The sequence below is a fragment of the Homo sapiens genome, chromosome 20 (genome assembly GCF_000001405.40).
Source record: "Homo sapiens chromosome 20, GRCh38.p14 Primary Assembly".
Taxonomy (NCBI): domain Eukaryota; kingdom Metazoa; phylum Chordata; class Mammalia; order Primates; family Hominidae; genus Homo; species Homo sapiens.
The window spans coordinates 38,814,350-38,840,758 of NC_000020.11; the positions used below are offsets into that span (position 1 = coordinate 38,814,350).

General features: G+C 45.3%; 1 protein-coding gene across 2 annotated transcripts in view, besides 3 other annotated features; it reads left to right on the plus strand.

Annotated features, from left to right (window-relative positions):
- The window catches only part of PPP1R16B (protein phosphatase 1 regulatory subunit 16B), a 117,328-nt gene that overhangs the window by 8,653 nt on the left and 82,266 nt on the right, over positions 1-26,409 (plus strand). For both annotated transcript variants that reach the window (NM_015568.4, NM_001172735.3), the window contains exon 2: positions 21,476-21,826. In NM_015568.4, the coding sequence (NP_056383.1) occupies positions 21,577-21,826 (250 nt within the window). In that variant the 5' untranslated portion in view covers positions 21,476-21,576. The remainder of the gene's footprint in view (positions 1-21,475; positions 21,827-26,409) is intronic.
- Positions 3,617-4,164: an enhancer, noted in NCBI's record as "OCT4-NANOG-H3K27ac-H3K4me1 hESC enhancer chr20:37446609-37447156 (GRCh37/hg19 assembly coordinates)". NCBI's record gives its function as "activates a minimal SCP1, AML or CMV promoter by ChIP-STARR-seq in primed H9 embryonic stem cells {active_cell/tissue: H9 hESC(primed)}" and the evidence as "EXISTENCE:reporter gene assay evidence [ECO:0000049][PMID:30033119]".
- Positions 4,165-4,712: an enhancer, noted in NCBI's record as "OCT4-NANOG-H3K27ac hESC enhancer chr20:37447157-37447704 (GRCh37/hg19 assembly coordinates)". NCBI's record gives its function as "activates a minimal SCP1, AML or CMV promoter by ChIP-STARR-seq in naive and primed H9 embryonic stem cells {active_cell/tissue: H9 hESC(naive and primed)}" and the evidence as "EXISTENCE:reporter gene assay evidence [ECO:0000049][PMID:30033119]".
- Positions 19,308-19,527: an enhancer, noted in NCBI's record as "active region_17864". NCBI's record gives its function as "activates an Ori minimal core promoter by ATAC-STARR-seq in GM12878 lymphoblastoid cells {active_cell/tissue: GM12878}" and the evidence as "EXISTENCE:reporter gene assay evidence [ECO:0000049][PMID:35858748]".

The window sequence follows — 26,409 nt, forward strand, 5'->3', positions numbered from 1 at the left end:
GGAAGGCTAGCAATGACCTTGGCTGGCTTTAGAGTCAGGTACGGGTTTGATTCCTACCTCCAGCACCTACTGCAACCTTGAGTAAGTTACATGTGTGTATTTGCTGAGCCACAATTTCCCCATATGTAAAACAGGAATAATAATAGTATAATATAAATTGATATGATTAGGCATTTAGCCTCTGCTTGGCAGGTAGGAGGTACCTGATACATGCCAACTATTCTTATGGCATTATTATCATTAGAGTTAGTCCCTAGGAGTATTCAGGAGCTAGGGAAATAGGTGAGCAAAGCACTGTGTCATTATGTCCCCAGGAGCTGGGTCATTCATTTTGTTCACTAGGTTACTTATGGCCATTACTTACCTGGGCATCCCTAGTCTCCTCCGCTTCTTGGCCCCAGAGTCTGTGCCAGCCTGGAGAGTTCTCAGAATGTCTTAGTTCAGACTCTTAGTCAGAACTGCCTTTGTTTCCTCACATCCAAGAACAAGTAAAACATACAAATTTTGACACTTATTCTCTTTAGGTCTCTTGACTCTTTTTGGTGACTTTCTCTGTCTCCTGTTTTCTTTCTGGAACTATTGCTGTCGTTGGCTATCCCATGGACTGGATAGAGAGGAAATGTTGCCTTATAAACATTGCCAATTACCTTATAAAAATATAGGGAAGATTTTCACCAAAATGTCATTCATTTTTTTTCTTTTATATATAAACTTAAGCTTTTGTTTTCCTATGGCTGTATGTCATGCTTTTTAATTACACAAAGTATATAAGTGTATCATAAGTAAACTTTCCCCATCTTCTCAGCCACTCATCCCTTTTCCCCGGAATAAATCTATAAATGTTTTATGTATTTTTCCATAAATTTCATATGCATATATAAACCCATATTCATTTACATGTTTATCCATTTTTCTTTTTAACACAACTATACAAAACTCTCCTGAGATCTTCTTTTTCAGCTAATTTATCTGAGCACATGCCAACACACAGATATACCTGGATCTTTAAGGCTATCTGATAGTCCAGTGATAAAAATGTACCATCATTTGTTTTCTAGTTTCTTGATGATGGCTAAGATAGTTTCCAGTTTTTTTCCTCCTACAAATGTATAATGTTGCAACATCCTTGTTTGAACAGTGTATATATCTTTGTATACTCTACATACTGATGATTTTATTCATAAGGAAAATTCCTGGCAGTTTCAACTGTGATAGACATTGCTAACCTGTTCTCCAAAGAGGCTGAACCAATTTCTGTTTCCTCAACAGTGTATGACTGTTTCCCCCATCTATTCTCCAGCACTGAGGATTAAGTAACTTTCATTTTTGTCAGTCTGACAGATATAAAGCAGAACATTTCTGCATAAGGTTCTACAGTAATTTTTAGATTTTATGACCCTTTGGATTATGCCTACATAATGATGATCAAATATTCAGAAACTACATTGTACCTGGCCTTAGGCTTGGAATTGGATACAAAATTAAATGAAACCAGCTTTTGCCCTCAGGTTGATCCCATCTCCTGGAGTTGGCAGACAAATGAACAAATAAAATGAGAGCAAAACTGTATGGTTCACATTGTGCTAGAGAAATGCATAAGCTTAGCTAACTTTTGTTTGATAAACTCTATATTCATTAATATCACAAATGAATTCATAAAATACCGTATGCATTATGTCCCAGGGTGTGAGGAGGCTTGAAATTCTCAAAAGAAAACAACTTGATTAGAAGCAAAAAGAAAAAAAAAAATAATGGAGCTTATCCTTAGTGGGGGCAGCAGAAGAAGTGGGAAGTTAGGAAGGGGTGAGTAATTTTAGAATAGTCTCTTTGGTAGTTTCCATGTTCACAAATAGGGTTTGTTTGAGGGAGCCTGTGGGGAAACCCAGCTGAGTTTGCAGCTGGCACTGATTACCGATCACTCAAACCCGGGCAGATCTGTACGTTGGTCCAGATAGAGTGGGAGCAAGGAAACAGGAGGCTGGCTTTAAAAATCAGCAACCTTGAAGCTCATAGAGGTTGGATGTAGGTGGCATAAATAGGCTGTTTACCACAGGGATTACAAGCAGGTGTGCTCTGAACAGGCCTGTGGTAGAGTGGATCCATAGAATGGTTTTCAATCAATGAATGAACATCAAACATCTGTCTATGTATTGTAAAGGGACCTCCTTCTCAAAAAGAATAGGTCCATGTAGAAAGGGGTATGATCATCTGGTCGACCCACCTGGGGGGAACCAAGCCTTAGCTATATACATTTTCTTTGGGCCCACCTGTCCTAGATAGCTCTTCATTCACTTGAGACATCTTAAAAGCAACACAACACAAGGAGCAGTTGAGAAAATCAACTGAATCAGCGCTGTGGAATGAACCTAACCATTGTTTTACAACAAATCCCCTCAGCAGCGATATATAGAGCCAATTGCAAAGCATGCAGAGTGGAAAAGGGACTGTGAAGACCAGCACAATCTTAGTCCACCCTCTTACAGGAGGCAAAGGGCAGGGGCCAGGCGAGGTATGTCCTGGTTCTGGTCCCAGGGCCCACCCTCCTCCTCCCCCATTAGCCAAGTCTGTTTTGCCCAGTTTGATGTTACAGCTCTTGTTCTAAGTCAAAGGACCACTCTCTCATGGCAGAACAGAAATTCTTCATGAATTTTCAGTCTCTTGGCCAGCCTCCTGTCCACCCTCTCCCACGTATTGAATACCTACCATGTGCTGGGTGGCGCTATCATGGGATGTAAAGGTGAACAATACATATCCCTTGTCTTCTGAGAGCATCCAGTCCAATGGAAGAGGCAGATCTGAAACCAGCAATTACCAGAGTGCTGAGTGCCACAGAAGAGATGTGGTCAAATGCCTTGGGACTAGAGAGTGGAACGAAGACTGTTTGGCACAGGAGAGATAAAGAACAATTCAGAGGCAATATTAAGACATTGAGGCTGGGTGTGGTGGCTCACAGCTATAATCCCAGCACTTTGGGAGGCCAAGCTGGGCGGATCACCTTAGGTCAGGAGTTCAAGACCGGCCTAGCCAACATGGTGAAACCCTGTCTCTACTAAAAATACAAAAAAATTAGCCAGGCATGGTTGTGTGTGCCTGTAATCCCAGTTACTCAGGAGGCTGAGGCAAGAGAATCACTTGAACCTGGGAGCCGGAAGCTGTAGTGAGCAGAGATCGCACCACTGCACTCCAGCCTGGGCAACAAGATTGAAACTCCATCTCAAAAAAAAAAAAAAAAAAAGACATTGAGACAATATTGTCTAAATGAGACAAGGCAAGTGCTGAGCACGGTGCCTGGAAAGCCCTTAAGAGATGATAGCTATTGTCATTTTAGCACTTGAGCTACCTCTCAAAGAACAAGAGGAGTTTGCCAGGTGGAGAGAAAGAAGGGTACTGCCACTCATAAAACAGCATGTGTGGGTCGGGCGTAGTGGTTCATGCTTGTAATCCCAGCACTTTGGGAGGCCGAGGCGGGCGGATCACGAGGTCAGGAGATCGAGACCATCCTGGCTAACACGGTGAAACCCCGTCTCCACTAAAAATACAAAAAATTAGCCGGGCGTGGTGGCGGGCACCTGTAGTCCCAGCTGCTCGGGAGGCTGAGGCAGGAGAAAGGCGTGAACCCGGGAGGCGGAGCCTGCAGTGAGCTGAGATTGTGCCACTGCACTCCAGCCTGGGCGACAGAGCGAGACTCCGTCTCAAAAACAAAACAAAACAAAAACAGCGTGTGTGAAAGTGAGGAGGTTAGTGTGGTGTAGTGAAAATTGCATGGGCTTTGTAGCAGATACATCTTGGTTCAAATCTTAGCCCTGCCACTTCCTAGTTGTGACTTTGGGCGTGTCAAGAGGAGCCTCCTTTTACTAATATATCCAGTGGGGGTAATGATGCCTGTTTCTAAGACTCATTGCGGGGATTAAAGTCAATTTATGCATAGTACCTGGCACACAGTAGAGTCTCAGCAAATGGTGAGTACCACTGGGGAGGAGTGAATCATCAGTCCTGTTCGGTGCAGCTGGAAAATTGGGTATTTAGTGAGTTGGGGGAGGGGAGGGAAGTCAGGCTGGCCAGAGAGAAAGCTAAAATGTCAAGGCCCAGATATTGGACGGTTTAGGCTGAGAGCTTGAAACTGGACAGCATAGGCAGTGGGAGCCATCAGATGCTTCCCTCCAAGGGAAATACAGGATCAAACTTGGTTTAAGAGTGAAAACTCCACCAGCGTTGTGGATGGCTGGTTGGAAGGTAAGCGGTGGAGGCAAGGAAACCACTTTGGGAACTGCTGCATTCAATATTCTTGTCTTGACAACAGCTCAGATTAGCATAGCAAAGGCTCAGTTAACTCCTGCAGTCAAGTGCTGTCTGGGCAGGCAGTTATGGGCAGTGGTCGAGTGTGTAGGCTTCACTGATTGTCCTCTTTTTTTTTTTTTTTTTTCCCCTTGAGACAAGATCTCACTCTGTTGCCCAGGCTAGAGTGCAGTGATCTGTGATCGTGCAGTGGTGCAATGACAGTTCACTGCAGCCTCAACCTCCTGGGCTTAGGCGATCCTCCCACCTCAGCCTCCTGAGTTGCTGGGACTGCAGGTGGGAGACACCACACCCAGCTAATTTTTTAATGTTTTGAGATGAAGTCTCACTGTGTTGTCCAGGCTACTCTCAAACTCCTGGGCTCAAGCCATCCTTCCATCTTGGCCTCCCAAAGTGCTGGGATTCAGGCATGAACCACTGTACCTGACCCCTTGTAATTCTTGCAAGAAAAAGGAAAAAAAATAAAAAAGAGCATGGGCTTCAGTGTCAAAGCCAATCTGGATTTGAATCCCACCCCTATTGCTTACTGGACATTGGGCAATTACTTAACCCTATGGAGCTTAGTTTGCCCTTCTATAAAATAGGGATTAATAGTACTTTTCTCATAGGCTTGCTGTGAAGATTACATGAAATAGTATGAGTAGCTAAAACACATAGCTTAGCTCTAGGAATGCAGTGAGTGTTCAGTAAAAGTTGATAATTGTGATAAAATATATTACTAGCTGGGCATGGTGGTAGCTATAATCCTGGCTGCTTAGGGAGGCTGAGGCGGGAGGATTGTTTGAACCCAGGAGTTTGAGACCAGCCTAGGGAGCATACTGAGACCCTATCTCAAAAAAGATAAACTAAAAAATAAATATATTATGTATATGACTATAGAAGACTTTTTTCATGTAACTCCTATTAACATCCTCTGGCGCTACTAGTGTTCTACCAAAAACATCCTGCTTTCAGACTTCCTGGAGAAGCAGCAGCACTTTCTGCTCCAAGAAATAGTAAGGAGAGTTGCCAGGTTCTGACACAGTGGTTCTTGGGTGCACATGAGACCCACCTGGGGAGCTTTTAAAAACGTCAATTTCTGGCTGCGTTCCAGACCAATTAAACTAGAATCTGTCGAGGTGGGACCCAGAGAGCAGTATTTAAAAAAAAAAATTGTGATGATTTCTTAAGGAAAAACAAATACACAAAAGTACACAAATCTTAAGTGGATCAATTTTTCACAAACTGAACCTATCTATTTAACCCATATCCTGCTTGGAGTGCTACCAGCACTCCAGAAGCCCCCTCTCCAACCCCGTATGTCCCTTTCCAGTCACTCCCTACACCCTGAAACCACATAGATTAGTTTTGCCTGTTGTTGAATTTTACATAAATGCAATCATATAGTATGCATTTTTGTGTGTTTGGGTTATTTTGGTTAACACTGTTTGCGAGAGTCATCCATATTGTTGAGTGTAATTGTATATTGTTCATTCTCATTGCTGTACAATGTTTCATTGTGTGAACAAACCATATTTTTTCTCCAAACTACTTCTGGGGGCATTTTGGGTTGTTTATACTTTGCGTCTATTAGAAATAGTGCAATTAACATTCTTGTGAATGCCTTTTAGCGAATGTATACAGAAATTGCTGGCCGGGCGCAGTGGCTCATGCCTGTAATCCCAGCACTTTGGGAGGCCGAGGCGAGCGGATCACCTCAGGTCAGGAGTTCGAGACCAGCCTGACCAACATGGAGAAACCCCTTCTCTACTAAAAATACAAAATTAGCCGGGTGTGGTGGCACATGCCTGTAATCCCAGCTACTCAGGAGGCTGAGGCAGGAGAATTGCTTGAACCCGGCAGGTGGAGGTTGCAGTGAGCCGAGACTGTGCCATTGCACTCCAGCCTGGGCAACAAGAACGAAACTTCGTCTCAAAAAAAAAAAACAAATTTCTGTTGGGTGTATTCCTAGGAATTCAATTGCAGGATTATAGGACATGCCCGTGTTTAATTTTATAAGACATTGCTGAACAGTTTTAAAAAGTGGTTGTACCAATTTATATTCCCACTCAGTGTGTAAGAATTTTTGCCAACAGTTGGCATTTTCTGTCTTAAAAAAAAATTTGAGCCAGGTGCGGTGGCTCACGCCTGTAATCCCAGCATTTTGGGAGGCCGAGGTGGGCGGATCATGAGGTCAGGAGATCGAGACCATCCTGGCTAACACAGTGAAACCCTGTCTCTACTAAAAATATATATATATATAAAAATTAGCTAGGCATGGTGGCAGGCGCCTGTAGTCCCAGCTACTCAGGAGGCTGAGGCAGGAGAATGGCATGAACCCAGGAGGCGGAGCTTGCAGTGAGCTGAGATCGCACCACTGTACTCCAGCCTGGGTGACAGAGCAAGACTCCGTCTCAAAAAAAAAAAAAAAAAAATTTGGCCATTCTGATAGATTTGTAGTGGTCTTTCTCTGTGATCGTCCTGTATATTCCCAGCATCTCCAAGTGATTCCAATGCCAAGTTTGAGAACGTCTTTCCTAACAGATTTTGCAAAAGCAGAGTAGAACTGGGGAAAGAGATGTTGTAATGGTGAGTGCCTCCCCATGGACTCCCTGTGATGTCCCAGAGTTTTTGGTAGAACTGACCTGGCTATCAGCCAGTGGAGGGAGAATGTTCACATGTGTCAAACCTGACAGCCTGCCTCTCATTCCTATGTGCTTTATTTGGAGCAAATGGCTCCACCAGAAGTGATCTGGAAGCTAAGGGGGAAGCACTATGAAGCTCTGGAAAGATGCCACAGCAGGACTTTCATCTCTTTTTATAATTTAAGACCTGAATGAGAAGGGAAGATATGAGAAGTGACTAGTGGGCTATATACACATTGTCAGAGAAGAAGAGCTGGTCTTTGTGACATATTTTTTTGCCCCAAAGGCTGCCTAGACCCTGGCACTTGGAAGGTGCTAAAAAATGGTCATTGAAATAAACATATTAGAACTATCCCTAGTGAGAGACACCACCCAAAGAGGTGCAGAGGAAGGTACTGGTGAGAATTTAGTGGAATTGATGCTTTGGGTTCTTTTCTTTGTAATTTCTATGTTGCTGCTGAGATTTCCTATCTGTTCTTTTATTACAAGCATAATTTCCTTTACATTCTTGAGCAAAGTTATAACTGCTTTAACAATCTTTATTATTTCCAACACCTGGGTCACCTTGAGATTGGTCTCCATTGATTGCCTTTTCTCTTGAGTTTGAGTCACATTTTCCTGTTTGTTTGTTTTTAATTTGCCTAGTAATTTTGGATTACATCCTAAATGTTGTGAATGAGACCTGAAGAGACTCTGAATTCTATTCCTCAGAAATATATATATATTAATATATATAATATATATTATATTTACATTATATATAATTTATAATATAAATATAATATATATATTTTTTTAATCAGGCAATTAACTTGACCAAACTCAAACTCCAAACTCAGTCTTTCTTGGGTGGACAACATCTGAAATCTTTGCTGAATTCATTTAGCTTTAGTTGAACTACTTGAAGTCTGCCTTGTATGTACATCATTCAGTGAGATTTGGGCACTGTTTATACTCAGAATTTGGGGCTACTGTTCTGTGATTCTTTTCTGGGATATTTCTCCTTATTTTCCAGCTGTGGTTACCTGAACTCTGTCTTTAAACTCCTCAAATAGTAAGAGAGTAGTTTTCTATCCAAGTTTTAGCTAGTAAGTACAGCACTGACTGGGCGCTTCCCGCAAATAAAAAGCCATTAAAAACACGAAAGTTATCTAGTGCCATTTCTTTCCTTCAGGTGTTGCCTCCTCTCCAGTTTCTACTTGCTTGTAGTTGAACACATTTAGTGCCTTCCAATCTTTTTTTTTTTTTTTTTTTTTTCTGTCTAGAGTTCGTAATAGTTTTGTGTGGGAAGTTTGGTCCAGAAAGAGCTACTTTGCCCTTACTAGAAGCAGGACCTCTCTGATCAATAGCTTTGTTCATTTAGGGATCCTTAGACCCACCCTACTTTATTGCCTACCTCATATAGATGGCAATAAATATTTGTTTATTGGCTAAATAAATAGGATTTAAATTAAAAATGGAAGTGAATTTTCAGAGAAAATTGCCAGAAGAAAACCCTGAAACTAGTAGTTACTTATTGTTGGCATCAAGTATGAAACAGAGTGTTCAGGAATTTGCTGAGTAGAAGGATGGGTGTGGTAGTAGAGCTCCAGACATTTGAGTGTAGACCAAAGCAGTTAACAAAGTGAACCTGAGATTTTCACATGAGGAGATAAATTCAATTGTGTTAGCAATACCACTTTCGTGGGGTGAAACTATGGCTTATAGAGAAGTTATCATGTTCAAAGGAAATACAACCGGTGAGAGGGAAGCGGAGGTATGCTTGGAGTTCTGTATACCCAAGAGGAGGGAATCAAAGTGGAGGAACTTTGGCTGGAGATCAAAGAGGGGAGGAACAGAAGTAATGCTCTAAAGGCAGAATACTACAGCCTGCTTCTCTGCATGGTGACCTGGAAGGTCATAGATCCAGTACTGAGACTTCAAAACCTGCCTATGGGATGGAAACTTCACTTACCAAAATGTAGGGCATCTGGAAACTTTCTGATTTATTGTACTAACAGTTTCATCTCTCAGACAGGAGAGGAGAGAGGCCAGTTGCTGTTGTGAATCTGGTTTGGGAGTTACCGGATGAAGTGAAAGTGCTCACTGAGGCCAGGCACGGTGGCTCACACCTGTAATCCCAGCACTTTGGGAGGCCAAGGCTGGCGGATCACTTGAGGTCAGGAGTTCGAGACCAGCCTGGCCAACATGGTGAAACCTTGTCTCTGCTAAAAATACAAAAATTAGCTGGGCAGAGTGGCACTTGCCTGTAGTCCCAGCCACTCAGGTGGCTGAGGCAGGAGAATTGCTTGAACCTGGGAGGTTGAGGTTGCAGTGAGCCGAGATAGTGCCACTGCACTCCAGCCTGGGCAACAGAGACTTTGTCTCAAAAAAAAAAAAGAACAAAACAAATCCAAAAAACACACAAAAATGCTCACTGAAAAAAGGAGCACCCATAGGGGGTTGAGCCTATAGGGGTTTGGAAAGCAGATTTTATGAAATTTAGGATGAGATATATTTCCTGCCCAAGGCTCCAAAAGTGATGACAGCTCCAACAGTAAGGGAAGTTATGACTTTAATCAGATATCCTTACTCTGCATAGATTTCATTTATTTTCCTTCAAGGACTCCTCTTACCGTCATGCCTCCGTGGCTCATCTTTCCTGTCTGACATTTTTTTTTTTATTTTTAAGGAGAGGGGATATTAAAAATACTTAACTAATGGCATAGAGACTGACCAATCAAAACAGATGCCAGACTAATCAGAAGAGATGCTAACCACACACAACTGGAACATCAGCCCTAGTTACGAGTTCCCTAACCTCTCCGAGTCCCAGTTTTCTCCTCTCTGAAATGGGAACAATATCTACATTGCAGAGTTGGTGCAGTGATTCCCAGAAAGGTTACATGCAAAGAACTTGGCAGGTGGAAGGTATGCTGGACACAGAAGCTGCCATGATTACCTGGCATTCTTTGTTTCTAGGTTCATTTCATGTATCTAGTTTATAGGTTCTGCAATGTTAGCCTTTAGTTTCATTAAGCATGTTTTACTCTATACTGACTTCAGCAAGTATTTGTTCTATTACCAGTTGGTCTCTCTGGTTTTTTGGCCAAAATGTCCCCATCTCCCTGGTCACGAATACTGTGGATTTTCTGAAATCTTCTTGAAATTCATGAGAAAGATCTGTTAAAGATGGTTATGGTTCCTTTAGAGATTTTCCCAGTTCCTTCTTCTCCTTCTGCTTTTTATGGGTGTAGCCTTTGGAGTTAGGCAGACCTGGGTTCAAATGTCAGTTCCATCCCACACTGGCTATGCACTTAATTGGAATCTGCTCTCTGCGTTGCCCTCTGTCTTCCTCTTCTCATTCTTTTGTCCCCCAGGGTAGGACTTTTTCCTTCAAGTTCAATTCTATGCTTTTAATCGTCCTTGTTTCCTTGGAATTATTCTCTGAGCTTCAGTGAACAAACTATATGAAAAGTTTTTAAAAATTCCCATCCCAGGCTGGGCATGGCGGCCACGCCTGTAATCCCAGCACTTTGTGAGGCAAAGATGGATGGAATCACTGGAAATCAGGAGTTCAAGACCAGCCTGGCCAACATGGTGAAACCCTGTCTCTGCTACAAATACAAAAATTAGCTGGGAGGCTGAAGCAGGAGAATCACTTGAACCCAGGAGGCAGAGGTTGCAGTGAGCCAAGATCATACTAACACACTCCAGCCTGGGCAACAGAGTGGGACTCTGTATCCAAAAAAAATTCTATACCAACTACTTCCTAACTGGCTAAGAATATCCCTGGCTAAAGGGGAGGAGATAGCTTGTTAGGGATATTTGAGGTTTCTGAAATGGAGAGAGTGGTCTTATAAGGCAGCAAATTGTGTTCCCCTTCCTCTTATGCTGGTAATGGTGTGGAGCCCAAGATGCTTCAAATGGACAAGACAGTGATCCCCAGACCTGGATGAGGAAGGGTGTCAGTGGCGACAGTGCCTTGGTCCTTTTCCATTCCTGAATGGACCCTATCCAATTACCAACAGCATGCTGTCTCCCCACATTCCAGGGCCAGCCTTGGGAGGGGGAAGTAGGAACTAGAAAAAAACTGTAAAAGAGCCGCAAGTGCTTTAGAAGATCTTCCTGGTAAAATGCAAGAAGATATCAGAAAATCCATTGTATTAGTGATCAGGGAGATAAGGGGACATTTTGGTTAACAAACCAGATAGACCAATTTGTAATAGAACAAGTACTTGCTAACGTCCATATGGAGTAAAATAGGGACTGCCCTCCTCTGCTTGAGTTCCTAGAGTCTGGATCTAGTCACCTTATCAGGGTGGAGTACAGTTCTTCCTTTGCTCCCTAGGATGGGTTATTGGAAACATTCCTATGTGAACCTGAGATTTCCTTGATGCTTATCTACCATGGATGCCACAGTGAGTTGTTGCTGTTGTTTGGATGATATTCTGGGATTTGAAGGGCCTTTCCACTCATACCTGATAACTTCCTAGATCCTTGGCCTCCCAAAGTGCTGGGATTACAGGCATAAAGTACCATGCCCAGCCAAGGATTTTAATCAGTGGATACAAAGGCAACTACTGGATGATGTAGAACAGAATTGCGTACTCAGTGTGCATGCAGCCACTTCCCACCTCTTCAGCCATGGCAGGCTTTGCTAATTGATCACAACACACGTTCTCCCTGTTATCACACATGGCTTCGTAATCCCTCTCCTCACAGTGCACCAAGTAGCCACCACCAACCTAAGTGGTGGCACAAGAGAGGAAAGTTTGGTCATGAGTGTTGTGCTGGGAGAGAAAGGCAGGGATTAGAGGCCACCCCCAGCCTACCCGATGTGAAGGGCCATCCCCAATTTAATAACTGTGTAACCCAGGAGTGTGTTCGGTAGCCACAGGTGGCCTCCTTTGGAAAATGATCCCTCCAGCTGCAAAGGGAGTTTTTATCTCCCTGTGAAGGGAGGGGGTGGACCACACTCCCTCAAGCCTGGAGAAACTGTTTGTAATTTGACTCCCGTTTCCCCAAGCTTAGCTATTACATAAGCTTCTTTAGAAGACAGGCTGTTTGGTTTAGCACCGTGACTGTGACTGACTAATGCGTTTGTAGACATCATGTTAGCTTTGTGTGTGCCCCTGTCCTTGGCACCCTTGTTCCTGTCCCCTACGGCCTTCTCCACACTGCTGTACTTACCCAAAAGTGTGTGGGCTTCCCTGGGTTCAAGTTCTTGCAGGGGAAGCTCAGCATGGAAGACCAGTGTGTTCATGGGTATTCCTTTACCTGTTTGAGCTGTGGCCTCCTTTGAAGTTTTCTTGGAGCTGAGCCTGAGAGAGCGGCTTCACCCTGACAGGCAGAACCAATCCAAATCATCAATCAGCACCTGCTTAAAATGGGCCTTGCAAGTTGTGTAGCCTGGTGGTTACCAAATGCTGGGTGCAGATATGCATGATAGAGTGCTTAGTCCCAATACGATGCCAGCCCCTGCAGGCCAGGATTGGGGCTCATGGGCCTTCATGGGGCCATTCCCGTCTACCACCCACCATAGACCTCTAAAGGCCATGGAGTTCCTGGTAGTGGGGACTCCAGCATCATGCCATGGCTGGACTTTGTTGAATTATCACTGTTAGACAGTTTATCCTCATGCCAGGCTGATCCTAGTTGTTCTTTTTAAAAAATTATTCATGTATTTATTTTTTAAATGATTTATTTTTATTTTTTAGAGACAGGGTCTTGTCCTGTCACTCAGGCTGGAATGGAGTGGTGTCATCATAGCTCACTGCAGCCTCAAACCCCTGGGCTCAAGTGATCCTCCCACCTCAGCCTCCCAAGTAGCTGGGACTAGAGGCACACGCCACCACACCTGGCTAATTTTAATTTATTTTTGTAGAGACGGGGTCTTGCTATGTTGCCCAGGCTGTGGATCCCACTCTTCATATTACCATGCCTAAGCCTCACTCTGCCCTCCAGAGGCCTGGAACAAAGCCGATCCTTTTTTGTTGCCTTTTGTTAACACCTGGTCTGCTCCCAATATGGCCCAGCCAGTTCAGACAGAGGTCAGTAGGTCTGTTATTGTTCCACTGCTGGACATGATGACATGATTCTTCTCCTGGGAAAGCTCAAGATGCATGAGTTGTTTCATCACTCTTTGTTCTTGTTAAATGTGTGGTTTTTGAATCCTGCCTCCTCTACCTTCAGCCTCCCCAACACACACAAAGTCCTGCTAAATGGGGTTATAGTCAATGGGCTTCAGGGGACAGTGACAAGTCAGAGATCTGAATGAAGGAGCACAGCTGGGAGAATTGGAGTTACGGAGTTGACCTGTGGGGATCTGAGTTTCACGACTGATTTAAAACCAGGAGATCTGTCTATGATGGCAATGCCCAAAGTCTAGAAGGTTCATCCTAGCAGGAGTAGGACAGTCAGTCCACAAAAATCCCATGGGAATGAGATTAGGGGAGACAACATTGATTTCTAATTCAGGTATTTGGAGCACCAAGGGCCCCAGAAGTCTCTTTGCTCATGAGTTAAAGCATCTTTATGCTGGAAAAAAAAAATGACGCTATTATTCAAAGAAGTGTGTTGTGGGAGGGCGGGGGTGTACATCCTTTAGGAGAGAAAGTAGGTCCCGAGTGAGATCCCAGGAGTAGGAAAGCCAGCACTGTTTGTTTTGTTTTCTTCTTTCCCTCATGCTCAATGGTACAGGAAACACAAGGAGAAAAGGACCCATCGCCTTCCTCCAGGCTGCTGCCAATATTGTGTAGAGAAGAATAGCTGAAGAACATGAAAACAAATCTTCACATTTCCTTTTAACAGTGTGAACTTTGAAACACTTTCTGACTCATATTTTAAAATCTCTTAAATTTGAATTCACCTTCCTTCATGTTGTTTTTCTCGAGGCACTAGGCTTGAGTCCAAAAATGTGTCAACCGACTGCTCCCCCAGAATTAAGCAGTCACAAAGCCTGGGCCCGCTTCTCCCAGCTGAGTGGGCAGGGAAACCTGGCTTTGACCTTCCTACCCTTCCTCAAAGCTGGGCCTCACCTCAGGCCTGAAGAGCCAAGAAATAACCATTGTAAGGGGAAGAGGAGGTATTTGGTAATATGCCTCAGCAAGAGGCCATTCATTTTGCTACAAGCAGCAGTTGCCTCTGGGGTCCCTATTTCTGCACCCCTAAAAACATCATTGCTGTCTCTTAAGGTGCTTTTGGCCACAGGTGGCAACATCCAATTCAACTGGCTCAAATAATAAAGGGGCTTTTGTTGGCTTGGATAACTGAAGTCCTGAGACCCCTTACTTAAAGGACCCTGTTTCCCTCTGGTGACCGCCAAGCATTGGTTTCATCCAAAAGCCAGCTTCCTGCAGGGATGGTGGCAACAAGGCTTCCAGGAGCAACTGTGTGTTGTGCTTCCAGTTCACAGATTGTGAGAAGAGAGAGCTTCTGATTGGGCCAACTCAGGACACGTGCCTAGCCTCAACCACTCACTGTGCTGGGCTCAGGCCGCTGCTGACAGGCTCTGGCCCATCAGGACCCAGCACTGAGTAATAATGTGGGAATACACAGATCACCACCAAACCAGTGCCTCTGTAGTTTTCCCAGAGGTATATTTATTCCCCCAAATAACACTCTTGTAATAGTCTTCTTTCTTTTTTGAAGGTGGAGAGTGTGAGGAGTTCTGTAGTACATCCTGCCTACTCCCCTGCCATATTTTGGGCGATGCTATTATTCAAAGAAGTGTGTTGTGGGAAGGCGGGGGTGTACCCTGCCATACTTTCTTGCCTTTCCCTTAAAGGGTCAGCCCTCTGGAGCTGAGTCTCTGCTTCCCCAGATATGCACTGACTCTGTCTCTCCCTTTGGGGTCAACAAGAGGAATGGAGTTCGGACTTTGTCAGACAAGAGGGGCTGAGTTAAGGCTCTAGGGGAAGAGGTGAACACACCTCAGTGGCCTGTTCCTGCTTCCCCAAGGGTCAAGTGCCTTGGCCTCAGACTTCCTGCTGGCCACAGTCAAACTATTTTGGTTCATCCACCCAGATGTTAGAAAAATTAAGTACCCTACCCTATTTCCCCTTGCTTCTGATTTCTCTTCTCATATCACAGATACTTCCTGGATGACCTCACCCGACCTGGCCTCCACAGATCCCTGCCACAGATATCTTGCCAGTTCTGGACACTCTGTTGACTTGTGGGCCCATGTATCCCATTCTCTGCAGGATGTTCCGTCTGGATTTTCCGATGCTGGGCTTGCTATGTCTCCATGGAGCTGGTTTTCCTCCAAATGAGGTCTTCCTTGGGGATCCCCTTTAAGTCTTGATGATAACCATTGCTCTCCCAGGTCCTGGCAGTTTGTGCTGTGTTCCCATCACCCTCTGGGGCTTTCTCTGGAAGTGTGGATAGGTGAGCCCAGGTCTTACAAGGAGGACAGTCTGCAGCCTATTGGAGCCATGGCTGCCGTGGGCTGCCCCAGCACCCAGGCCAGTGCCCTGTCTTGGGGCCACCCCGCTGCTGTGTTTGCAGCACCATGGCAGTTCTTTAATTAGACCAAGCAGGGATTTCTCAGACGGGGGTGGGAGGAGGTGTGCGGGTCTATTGGGGGAAACTAGGTCACCTGAAAACCAGTAATCAAGAGGGAGCTGTCCTCGAGCCCCAGCTCCAAGGAACCCAGAGGGGCAAGGTGGGAGGGGCTCGCGGGGAGGGCCAAGTCAGAGAAAATATGCCTCTGGCCCCTTTTACTGGCCCTTGGGAGACATTGTTCTCACCTTTCTCCAGGGAGCTGGGCAACTGCCCTTAATTCCTTTGCTGGGAGTAGGGAGGACACTGCAGTGGTGCCTTCTGTCTGCCTGGGGCCTGCCACCCTGGGGCCCATGGAGGGAGCACTGTGCTGTGAGTCAGGCCCCAGGTTTAGTTACTGCTCAGCCTCTGTATCCTTGGAGCAGGTCACCCACTCCCATGTGTCTGTGCCATCCATCCACTGCACAGGGACTGTGTCTGCCTTTACCCTGCTGCCTCTCTAGCCCTGAGCACAGGCCTGGCATGTGGTAGATGCCACCTAAATATTTGTCAAACAAAATAATGAGTTTATATGAGTGCTTCTCTTGTAAGATTATTGCCACGAAGATCAATGGCAAGATGGGTTTCCCAAATATCAGTCACTTATAAGTTTTGCCAACACTAAACGCCATTGTCATTAAATTTTTCTTTACTATCAACTTCCTATTTCCAACTGAAATAGATTTGTTTAAAAAGGAAATTTTATATCACAACCATAAACAAACAGTAACTGTGAAAACAAATCCACAGGAAACAAAACAATGTTATTACATTCTATCCTAGATACAGTGGCTTGCCCAGGCCAGGAGCTGAGGCCTGCTTTCTCTTTGTTTTGAAGGAGGATTGGCATAGTTATAAAGATGTTAAGGGTCTGTTAGCATTGGACTGACACTTTTCTCTGGAGAAAGTCTGAAAGATTAAAAGAGAAGTGAAAAGCCTATATACCCTGCTCTCTGTGTGGGTCCATGTTACGTCAAGGCTTGTTCCTGTACTTTTGAAAATTTCCTTGGAATGGATTCTCCTTCCACACTTAGGGAAGCACTTGGCTGAGATGATGGCTGGGGAAGTTCTTTGAAAGGGATAAAGTGCTGTAACAGCGCAAGTGATTGGTACCATTACTCTTTACTTTTAGCATGTTTTTGGTACCTTCCACTCAGAGGTGATCAGTCATAATAATGAAGAAATGAGTAACTGTGTTCAGGATCTTAGGGCTGAAAGACATCTCACAGAATACTTAGGCCAATCTGACACGGGTGGACATTTTATCCTCCAGTGAGTGACGAGGAACTTGCCACCTCCTGAGACAGCCATTGACCACGAGCACCTTTGTCGAATTGCTTGTTGGACAGCTCTAGAGGCCGGTGTCTGTTCTTGGGGTGCACACAGCTGCTTCCTTGTACTTCCTTGTTCCTCCAAATGAGGTCTTCCTTGGGGGTCCCCTTTAAGGGTTGATGATAACCATTGCTCTCCCAGATCCTGGCATTGGGCTGTGTTCCCATCACCCTCTGGGTCTCACGAGGAGGCCAGTCTGCAGCCCATTGGAACCTGGCTGCCGTGGGCTGCCCCAGCACCCAGGCCAGTGCCCTGTCTTGGGGCCGCCTAGCTGCTGTGTTCACCCTGCTGTGTGTTGGGGAGACTCACAGGCTCTCTTTCCTTTCTTGTTCAGAGTGGAGCTCTGGTTATTTGGAAACTGCTGTCTCATTCTGCCTAAGACAGAGCTTGCAAACTCAAATGACATTGGAGCTGGCAAATGATGTCAGTTAGTGAGGGCAGTCAGGCGGGAGTAATGGGGAGCATTGGGGACTATGGTAATGGAGAGCGTATGTGCCCTATCTAAAGGGGACAGCCCGACTCTACACCAGTTGATGGTGATGCCGTGTGAGCCCACTGTGGCCCCATACCAAGATGTTCTAAGAAAAGCAGACCCCCCGATGTTGGATATAAAATCTCCAAGTTGTAAATGTCAGCAATGAATTAAAATATTTTAAAACATGGTGTGGACTTCGACCAAACTAACCAACAAACACGATGTGGATCACAGGAGGCTTTCTGGTCAGGCCTGGCCCACAGCCACAAGTGGCTCATCACTGCCAACAAGACTTCTCTGCTCCTTTTGGGCTGGGCAGCCACGTCCTCTTCGGGCCATGCTTGTGCATGTTGGTTTCCAGAGTTCCCTCCATTGTGGTCAGCCACTCTGTACACCTTTGAGCGCTGCCTAACTCCCTCTCAGCTCGTGTCTGCTCCTTTCAACTGGTGAAATCCTACTTCTGCACTGAGATTCAAATCTGTTGTCCTGTATTCTGGAAAGCCTTCCTTGAGAACCCCGGGCAGACTGGCTCTTCCACTATCTAGCGGTGGTATGTTGGGTAAATGACTTAATCACTCTGTGCCTTAGTTTCCTCATCTGGAAAATGGGCATGATAGTACCTAGTACTACTATTTTATTAGGTTACTGGGATAATTAAATGGATTTATGAGATAAATTGACAGACAGAAGGCAGAGGTGGTCCGCATCCGTCTCTGAATCAGGGCTCGTCACAGAGCAGGACTTCATTAAATGTTTACTCACTCGAGGAAGTGGAGTGAAATAAACTTGTGATCTGCTAGCTCCCAGAGAGGTCTGACTATAATAATGATATTGTGTGGTTGTGAATTGAACTCTTTTGAACTCCTTACTTCTAAAAAAGCAACCAAAACATCTATATCTAAGTGGCTAAAATAGAAAGCAGTGACAATCCCAAATGCTGAAGGGGAACTGGATCACTCACACATTGCTGGAGGGTATGAAACCAGCACAGCCATTCTGGAGAACAGTTGGGCAGTTTTCTTTTAAAAGTAAACATGTGCCAGGCGCGGGGGCTCACGCCTGTAATCTGAGCACTTTGGGAGGCCGAGGTGGGCAGATTACCTGAGGTCAGCAGTTTGAGACCAGCCTGGCCAACATGGTGAAACCCCGTCTCTACAAAAATACAAAAATTAGCCGGGCATGATGGTGGGTGCCTGTAATCTCAGCTACTTGGGAGGCTGAGGTGGGAGAATCGCTTGAACCCAGGAGGCGGAGGTTGCAGTGAGCCGAGATCACGCCATTGCACTCCAGCCTGGGCGACAGAGCGAGATCTCAAAAAAAAAAAAAAAAAAGTAAATGTGCAATTACCATATGCCTTATCACTTGTACTCTTGGGTATTTGCTCCTGAGAAACAAAAACTTATGTTTACACAATCTGTAGATGAATGGAACAGCCTTAAACTGGAAACGATGCAGATGTTCCTCAATAGGTAAATGGTTAAACAAATTGGGGCCATCCATAAAATGGAATACTACCCAGCAACAAGAAGAAACGCACTATTGATGCATGCAGCAATGTGGATGAATCTCAAAGGAATGATGCTGGGTGAAAAAAGCCAATCCTCAAAGGTTACCTGCTATCTGATTCTATTTATATAACATCTTTTGAAATGACAAAATTCTAGAGATGGGGAACAGATTAGTAATTGCCAAGGCAGGGACAGGAGTGGGTTGGAGGGGGAGCCTAGAGAAGGAGATAGGTGTGGTTATGAACTGAGGTGGTAGATACATTGATACAATTGCATAAAACAAAACACATCCAAATAAGTACATGTGAAACTAGGGAAATCGGCATAAGATTGGTGGGTTGTATCACGTCAGGTTTCTGGCTGTGATACTGTATAGTAGTTTTCAAGATGCTACCACTGGGATAAACTGGGTGAAGTGTACACAGAATCTCTCTGTACTATTTGTTACGCTCCCTGTGAATCTACAATGATCTAAAATAAAAAGTTTAATTAGTTGAAAGTGCATTGCAAGTGTATTCAAAACAGAAATCAAAACAAAACAAACAAAAGGCAACCAAAACCAGCTAGCTTGTCTCCCATTGAGCCTTGCCATTGGCTTATTTATGCTGGAGGTCACACCCACTCAGACCCTGGAACTTTTGCCCTTTGGGCATTGCCAAGCCAACCCCTTCCCCATTCTGCCTGCTTACTCTCCAGTCTCCGAGCTGGGAGAGACATGAAGAACGATCTGGATCTGACCCAATCTGAGCACCTGAGGATTTAGCCTGAGCCCTGCTCTTCAGCTTCTGTAGAAAGGGCTTTTGGAGGGGCGGGTGACGCAGGCGACCCAGGAGATTAACAACGCTTCCTGAAACCAACCAGGGGCTAACCCAATACTCTTTGAGACAGTGGACCACATCACACAGATGTAGACTCCTGCCATTCTTTCCTGTTACCCAACAACCATAAACCAGCCTTGCCTGCTGGTTCACAAACATGCTGCATTTACATCTCCCTACCATTCCTCCTCCAAGCTTGTGTCTCATTGTTTAGTGTCTTAATGTTTAGGGCCAGCTCTTTTTTAAAAAATTATTTTATTTTTTTGTAGAGATAAGGGTCTCGCTATGTTCCCCAGGCTGGTCTGGAACTCCTGGCCTCAAGCTGTCGTCCCACCCTGGACTCCCAAAATGTTGAGATTGCAGGCATTGAGCCAGTGCATCCAGCCCCAGCTCTTTTTATTCCTTGCACCTGTAACTTCTGGGAGGTGGATAGGACACTTTGCAGGTGGAGGAACAGGCTTAGAGAGGATCAAGTGATTGTCCTAAGACCCTTTCCCTCTGTGTCTGAAAGTTCATAGAGTCCGTGCTGAAGACCAGCTGGCTTTAGACTTTGAAATTTTGTTGACCTCATGTTATTTGAAACTCATGAGAGCAAGGATGTAATTTTTTTTTAAAGGTCATCCAAAGAGAGAAACTTTAACTAAGATTTTCTATGTCCCAGTAGTTCAGCAGTTTTTAAACTTTTTTGTCTTAGGATTTCTTTAGTTCCTTAAATTGAGCATCCCAAAGAGCTTTTGTTTATGTGGATTATATCTGTCAATATTTATCATAATATAAATGAATATTGAGGAATTTTTAAGAATAGCATTAATTCCTTTAAGATAAAACCATAAACCCATGATATATTATAACAATATAATAATCTATAACATATTTTTATTAGACTGTTATAAAAGCATAACATATAATATATAACATTTTGATGAAAAATAGCTATTTTTCAAAACAAAAAAAATTTAGTGAGAAAAGTGATGTTTAAAAATTTTGCAAAATTCTTTATGTTGAGCTTAGCAGCTGGATTCTTGTATCTACTTCTGCATTTAGTTTGTTGCAATGTCACTTTTCATATAGCTTTGGGAACCACTGTATACTCATAAGATAATGAGTAGAAAAGGTTAGTAATATCTTAGTATAGTTATGAAAATAGTTTTGACCTATGGACTTCTTGAAATGGTTTCAGGAATTCCCTATGGGGTTCCCAGACCACACTTTGAGAAGCACTGCAATAGTGTATTGTTTCTTCTGGTCTCTTTCTTGTCCTGTCTGTCCCATCTCCAGTACAACTTGCATCCCATAGTGATCAGAACAAAAGAGGCTTGAGCAGAAGTGTCAGATGTTCATAATTCTGAGGCCTTGGATGTTTGTATAGTCTCCAGATTTTTGGGGGCCTGCAGCCCCCATCATGTCCTGACCCTCCCTGCACCCCTTCTGATTCCAGCACTCAGATACCCAAATCCTTAAAGTAGGGTGACTCTATACAAGAAAACTAAAATGGCATGGTTCTTGTTAAATAGCTGTGGCTAGAGAGGCAGACAACCAAGCTATCCAATAGAGCTTTCTGCAGTGATGGATATATTCTTTATCTGCATTGTCCAGTATGAAGCATGTGGCGATTGTGCACTTGAAATGTGGATAGTGCAACCAAGGAATTAAATTATTTTACTTTATTCTAATTGATTTAAATTTAAATAGCCACAGGTGGCTACTGGCTGCTGCATTAGGCAGCATAGCCAGACCTTGCTGATACTTACAGGGCCACTGTAAGGATTTGCACTTCTCTTGAGGAGCAATGGAAGGAAAACCTCAAAAGCGTTTCGAACACGGGGCGTTGGGGGACGATCAGATCTGAGTTGTGGAGTCTGACACATGTGTTCATCTGTGTCTCCCTCCCTGCCACAGGCCACACCATGAGGCCCCAGCCCCACCAGAGGCCCCGCGCTGCCCTGGCCCCCGGTGCACCGTGCTAGCCCCCAGCCAGGGCGTTGGGGAGGGCGGTGGCCATGGCCAGTCACGTGGACCTGCTGACGGAGCTGCAGCTGCTGGAGAAGGTGCCCACGCTGGAGCGGCTGCGGGCTGCCCAGAAGCGCCGGGCCCAGCAGCTGAAGAAATGGGCACAGTACGAGCAGGACTTGCAGCACCGCAAGCGAAAGCATGAGCGGAAGCGCAGCACGGGCGGCCGCCGCAAGAAAGTGTCCTTCGAGGCCAGCGTGGCCCTGCTGGAGGCCTCGCTGAGGAACGACGCCGAGGAAGGTAGGCCCCTCTGTGCCTTGGCGGCCACGCAGCTGCCTTGGCCTCTGATCAGGGTTTGGAATCCAGGTTCTGTGCAGTAGACGTGTGGGCAAGGCAGGTCTGCAGACCCACTTCCAAGTTCCAGCAGCCCCATTCCTCTTAGGAAGTGGACGTTCCTAGGAACTTCGAATTTATCTTAGACTTCTTTTTTTTCTAAGACAGGGTCTCGCTCTGTCTCCCAGGCTGGAGTATAGTGGCGCGATCTCAGCTCGCTGCAACCTCTGCCACCCAGGCTCAAGTGATCCTTCCACCTCAGCTTCCCTAGTAGCTGGGATCACAGGTGTACTGCCACCATACCCAGCTAATTAAAACAAAAAAAATTTGTAGAGATGGGGGTCTCATTCTGTTGCCCTGGCTGGTCTCGAATTCCTGAGCTCAAGTGATCTGCCCGCCATTGGTCTCCCAAAATGCTGGGATTACAGGCAAGAGCCGCAGCGCCAGGCCTAGACTTTTTGTTTAAACATCTTCGTTCATTTGTTTTTATTTATTTATTTATTTAGACATAGGGTCTTACTGTGTTGCCCAGGCTGGTCTCAAACTCCCAGCTTAAAGGGATCCTCGTGCCTCAGCCTCCCAAGTAGCTAGTATTATAGGCAGGCCACCTTGCCCAGCTGTATTTTTTTGGGAACAAGGATTCCAGCCTTTGGCTGAGGAATACCATAATAACTTTCTTTCCCTCCCACAAATATTTACAGACAACCACAAATACTTACAGACACCTTCTTTTGCATTACTTTCCTAGATATAGTGGTGAACAAGTTGGATCTGGTTTCTCCCCACCAAAAGCTCAATACTCACAGGATCTTGCAATTCATAAAGCTCTCCTCTGTGCCAGACCCCATGCCTGGCACCCTCTGAATGCTGTTCCGTGTATTCCGTGTATGTAGCCTTTGCTGCAGTCATAAATGGTGTAGAGGGATGGACTCTGAAGTGAGACTACCTGAATCTAAAACTGGCTTTCTCAGTTCCCTACGTGAGCTTGACAAGTAGACAAGTCTCTTCCACTCTCTATACTTCGTTTACACCTCTGTAAAATGGGGCTAATAAGAAAATCCACTTTAAGGGCTTGCTGTGAACATTAAGTTAGAAAATCCCTGTGAAGTTCCTAAATATGGTCCCTTATGCTGAGGAAGTGATTATTACTGTTTTATTTTATTATATTAGTATATTTTATTTACATTATCAAAGGATGTCCATAAAGTCTGAAAACAGATATAGACAATGCTATCTAGGATATTTTCACTCTGTAAAGTGAATGAGTAAATAAATATAAACAAACATGTATACACATTCATACAATCTATGTTTCCAGATTTTTTTCTTTTTTTTTTTTCTTTTTTTTTTTGAGACAGAGTCTCACTCTGTTGCCCAGGCTGGGCAGAGTGCAGCGGTGTAATCTCGGCTCACTGCAACCTCTGCCTCCCAGGTTCCAGCAATTCTTCTGCCTTAGCCTCCCGAGTAGCTGGGATTACAGGCGTTCACCTCCATGCCCTGGCTATTTTTTTAAATTTTTAGTAGGGATGGGATTTCGCCATGTTGGCCAACCTGGTCTTGAACTCTTGACCTCAGGTGATCCACCTGCCTTGGCCTCCCAAAATGCTGGGATTACAGGCATGAGTCACTGTGCCTGGCCTATGTTTCCAGATTTTATGGATACCTTGTACTTGCCATGTTTAATTTAATTATATTATTTTTGTGTCTCATGAGCTAGATATCATGATCTGTACTATGTATAGTGCTTTAAGAGCCATGTATGATAACACCCATTTTACAGATGGGGGAATTGAAACTCAGAGAGGTTCAGAACCTTGACCAAGGTGGCAGAGCGGGATCAGAACCACTGGCATCCGACTCTTGTCACTGCCCTCATGGCCTTATAGGTTTGCTTCCTGTTGTAGGAATGAATGGAGAATCCATGATGTAACCACAGCCCCCTTCCCTGGGCTTGTTCAGAGGCGGTCTCGCCTGCTCATTGTGAGCCAAGGTCTGTGCACCTCCCTGTTCCCCTTGGCGCCCATGGCCCATCCCTGTATAATAAGCCTTCCTGGCTGTCCCTGGAGAGGCCTAGCCATGCTTCCTGGGTCCCTGCACACACCTTCCAGTCAATGAAAGAGCAGAGAGGTGTGGCACTTCTGGCCCAAGAGGGTGCTGGGTTTTAGTCACCTTGCTCTTCAGGTTCTAGAACCCTCTGAGAAGTGTAATTCCACTTCCACCTGGCTGCACAGGGCTCTAGGAAACGAGCCAAGAGGCATCCCTGGAACCACTCTGCTGGGAGCTGCTCCGCTGAAAGCCTGGGGTGAGCAGCCTGGGTGAAAAGAGAGGTGGAATCTTGGGCTTGGGGACATGGCCCCGAGGCTCCTTCCCACGTGCAGTTTGCCAAGTGATGCGGCAGCCCCATCCCCACGCAGTGGGTGGCTTGTCATGATGTCTAATTTTTGTTGGGGGCGGAAGTTCATCAGCTCTTCTCTCACCCCTCGTTATTGACTGCCTTCTTCCCTGACAAAGCCCCATTGCCCCTCCCTGAGGGGCTCTGTGCATGGGCTGCGGGCTTCAGACCATCCTCCCAGCCCCCTGCCCAGCCCCTACCCCTTGCTGATGTCTTGTTTCCTGGTTAGAAGGAGCACTGGGCTGGGAGTGGAGGGATCAGTGCCCCGCAGCCCTGCCTGTGACTTTGAGCAGCTTGTTTCACCTCTATGGGTCCAGTTTTTTTGTTTTGCTTTGTTTTGTTTTTGAGACGAAGTCTCGCTCTGTCGCCCAGGCTGGAGTGCAGTGGCACAATCTTGGCTCACGGCAAACTCTGCCTCCCGGGTTCAAGCGATTCTCCTGCCTCAGCCTCTCAAGTAGCTGAGACTACAGGCATGCACCACCATACCCAGCTAATTTTTGTATTTTTAGTAGAGTTGGGGTTTCACCATGTTGGCCAGGCTGGTCTCAAACTCCTGACCTCAAAGTGATCCGCCCACCTTGGCCTCCAAAAGTGCTGGGATTACAGGTGTGAGCCACCGCGTTCAGTTTTTTAATCTGTAAAATCAGGTTTTGAAAGCTTGCCCTCAAGAGGGTATGGCAAGACTTAGACAAGGTCCTGGATGTGACAGTTCTTTGAAAGGTTACCCTGAGACCTGTACCAGCACGGTGATAACGCACTTTATTTTGTTTTGTTTTTTACAGACTTTAATGTTTTTCAGAACCTAAATATGCACAGATACATTCTTCTTGTAAAAATCAATCAACGTAGAAGTGTACAAAGTAAAAAGTCCTTTCTGTCCCTCCCTTCCTCCCTCTCTCCTTCCTCCCCTCCTTTGCTTCTTTTTGTCCATCCATCACTACTGTTGTTAGTTTGATGTTTCTTTTCCAGGTATTTTTTTCATTTGCATATGCACTTGTGGACTTAAGAGAAATATAGAGCCAGGTTTCTTTTTTAAAAAGTTTTTACATAAGTGATGGTATCCTGGATACATTATTCTGCAATTTTCTTTTTTTTTTTCCCATCCAACGGTATATCTTGGAGACGTTTTCATGCCAGAACATGTACAGTACAGATCTGTGCCATTATTTTTATCTGCTGTGTAGTATTCCATAGTATGGATTACCAGAATTTTCTAACTAGCTCCTTATTGATGCAGATTTTTCCAGTAGCTTCGCTTTTGCCACAGTGAATGTTTTATTTCCATGTGCAAATGTTTATCGAGGACAGATGTGATGAAATGAAAGAGATGGATCTGAAGGTATTAAATTTGAATGAGAAAAGTGCTAGACCCCATGGGCTGGTCCCCCTGTCTCTATGGGGCAGCCAAGTGAGGGGAAGGGGCCAGAATACTGTGCTCTGTGGCAGGCTCGTGGGTTGGTTTTAGGGTCCACAGTTGCCTGGGTTTGGATGAGGGGTGTGAGGCTGCCATCAGTCAGCCCTTGACCTCACTGGGCTATGCTCAGCTTCCTGGCAGCACTACAGAGCCTGCTGCTTTCAGCAGGCTGGGAACGGCTGCTTCTTGCTGGTGGAGCTGGTGTTTGGGAGGCTGCCGGGGTGTTAGCTCACAGTGGCGTGGGAGCGTGGGGTGGCAGCTCCCCCACTCCCCTGAGCTCACAGCAGCCTCTGAGTCAACCTCCCCCACCTGCCTGGGGAATGTGAGTTGTTTCCAGAGAAAGGCAGGCTAGGAACTCACTGAGTTTCATCCTCTGGTCCCATATTGCCTTTAGACTAGTGTCCTTGCCCTTGGACCTGCCTGAGCCCCATGCTCACTGCTCTCACTGCCATCACCCTCTGCCCCAGGCGACGCCAGCTCCACCAAGATCCTCCCATATTCCCTGCGTTATCTTACCTCCACACCTTTGTATATGCAATTCCCTCTGTCTGGGACACTCTTCCTGTGACTAACTCCTGTAACCCTCAGCTTTGAGTCCAGCGTGATCTCTGGGGAGCCATCTGTGAGCCTTTTCCCGGCCCTGGTTAAAGTAGCAACTCAATACGTAGCTGATGTTTACTGAGAGACAGTGTAGTGTCATGGCTAGGAGCACAGACCCTGCAGTTTGTCCTCCAGGATTCAAAT